This window comes from Homo sapiens, chromosome 18 (genome assembly GCF_000001405.40).
Source record: "Homo sapiens chromosome 18, GRCh38.p14 Primary Assembly".
In the NCBI taxonomy this organism is placed as follows: Eukaryota; Metazoa; Chordata; class Mammalia; order Primates; family Hominidae; genus Homo; species Homo sapiens.
Genome location: NC_000018.10, coordinates 27711967 through 27713928, shown reverse-complemented (window position 1 = coordinate 27713928; position 1962 = coordinate 27711967). Strand labels below are relative to the sequence as shown.

At 39.6% G+C, this 1962-nt stretch overlaps 1 annotated feature.

Annotated features, from left to right (window-relative positions):
- Window positions 213-991: an enhancer, noted in NCBI's record as "OCT4-NANOG-H3K27ac hESC enhancer chr18:25292902-25293680 (GRCh37/hg19 assembly coordinates)". NCBI's record gives its function as "activates a minimal SCP1, AML or CMV promoter by ChIP-STARR-seq in primed H9 embryonic stem cells {active_cell/tissue: H9 hESC(primed)}" and the evidence as "EXISTENCE:reporter gene assay evidence [ECO:0000049][PMID:30033119]".

Here is a 1962-nt window from a genome sequence, read left to right as displayed (position 1 = left end):
TCCCAAAGGAGAGTGAACAACTGCTTCAGCATGCAACTACATTGTATGGCTCTGTGGGTGTTCCTGTCTGTCTGGAATGGGGCCCCAGCAATGCTCTTTGCATGACGTAATTATAAATGAAAATACATCTGTGATGAGCATAAGCATTTCAGTCCATGCAATTGATCCTGCATTATGTCTCCTTCAGCTAAGAAGTCATGGTTTGTTAAAAATACAATATATTTTCTGCTAAAAATTTCATTGCTTATACAATGGATTTTCTATTTTGTAAAACCAGCTCTTGGATTTCTCATAAATGCACTTAGTACCATGGACACAAAAGGGGAAAAAGAGAACATGACAGAGATATTGCATAAACCCACTGGCTGTGGCACAAGACTAGAAGGAAATATAAACACAAAATCTGTTGTTTCTGGATTAATTCTGCAAAGCTAGCAAATAGCCCTTGCTTTGTTTTGTTTTCTTTTCTTTTATTTGTTTCTTTTTTTCCCTCTGTTTGTATCCTTAAATGATCTGGGTCATCCTCCACTTTGGGGAAAAAAACAACCTCTGAATCCAGGAACCTTCTCCTTTATTGACAAATTTTATTGATCCTTTAGAGTTTCTTTTGCTGGGCTGACTGCTGTTCTCAGCTAGTGTCTCTTGTGATGATGACATAGCACTGGCTCAAGTGTTTAAGTAGTCCTCACATTTTCCCCCCTTCTGGAAACAAAGAAAGGTTCCTGTCATTCGATATCTTTGAAGCAGAAGCAGGAGCTTCAAAGGAGACCCAGGAGAGTTGCAGGAACACAATTCCCCAGCTGCTTTCTGAATGATGCAGTTCATGTAAACTTATTCCAAAATCATTGGCATCCCCAGCGAAAGGCTCCATGAAATTTGCATCTGGAGGGGCAGGCCTTAAAGGAGTTAAATCTTTTTTTTGTTTGTTTAGTTTATGTTTGCTGGGAGTACGTGTTTTACACTGATTCCACAACCATGCCTTTGAGATGTCAAATAACCATAGGGACATTGAGATGCTCAACACATTCAGACACCTCTATATACAGGACATTAGGAATTATTAAGCATGTGTAGTGATTAACTTCTGGTGGGAAGATTCTGAAGTGTGCCTTTTTAGTTGGTGCTAAGCTCTATTTTTGCTAAGTGTGAAGTTAATAATTTTAGGGGCTTCTTTAGAACCATTTTACTGTGAGTTCCGATTCTTTATCCAAACTAGTTGTCCACATGAATCACATGATATAATGCATTTTTTCCTATAAGAAAACATTATTCATTACCCAGAAAAGCCCCCTCTAGTTTATATGGGTAGAGAAAGGGCTTTTCTTTTGACTGTTTAAGCCAGCCGTAAGCAGGATGCAACAGCAGGGTTTTTTTTTAAATTTAATTTGATTAAACCTTGTGATCTTCGGGTAAGCATGAAAGAGCAGTATTTTAGATTTTGGCTTTCGCTGTGACCTCTATAGTGATTCCTGCCCCTTTGCCTTCTGGCTCTCTCTCCATCTCTACCTCAAATAAAAAGGGATACTACAGTGTTGACACCCGGGGGCTCGACCTTCTTCAGAGGATGTGGCAGAATACTCAGGCTGCCAAATTCCTGATTATCAGAGAGGTCTTGCTGAAGACCAATTTAAACTGGAAAGCACATAAGCTTCATTGGGCTATTTCAAAGTTCATGCAGCTTTAGTGCTAATCCTCTTAACATATTAGGCCAGGTGGACTCACATAACCACAATGGCATTGCCATAAAGGCCTCTCCAACCTTTATTTACATTTCTCTGCATGGCAGAGTGCAAGTCAATTCATTCTCCTTTCTAGCTGCCTTCCTCAACATTATGACCTGCTCCAAGGTGATTCCAATTGTTTGGAGGCCAAATTGCTTAGGCTAACATATTAAAAGATTTTACGTTAACACTGCTTGCTCCAAACCATGAAACACTTGCAGTATGCTGGCTTAGTAATTCC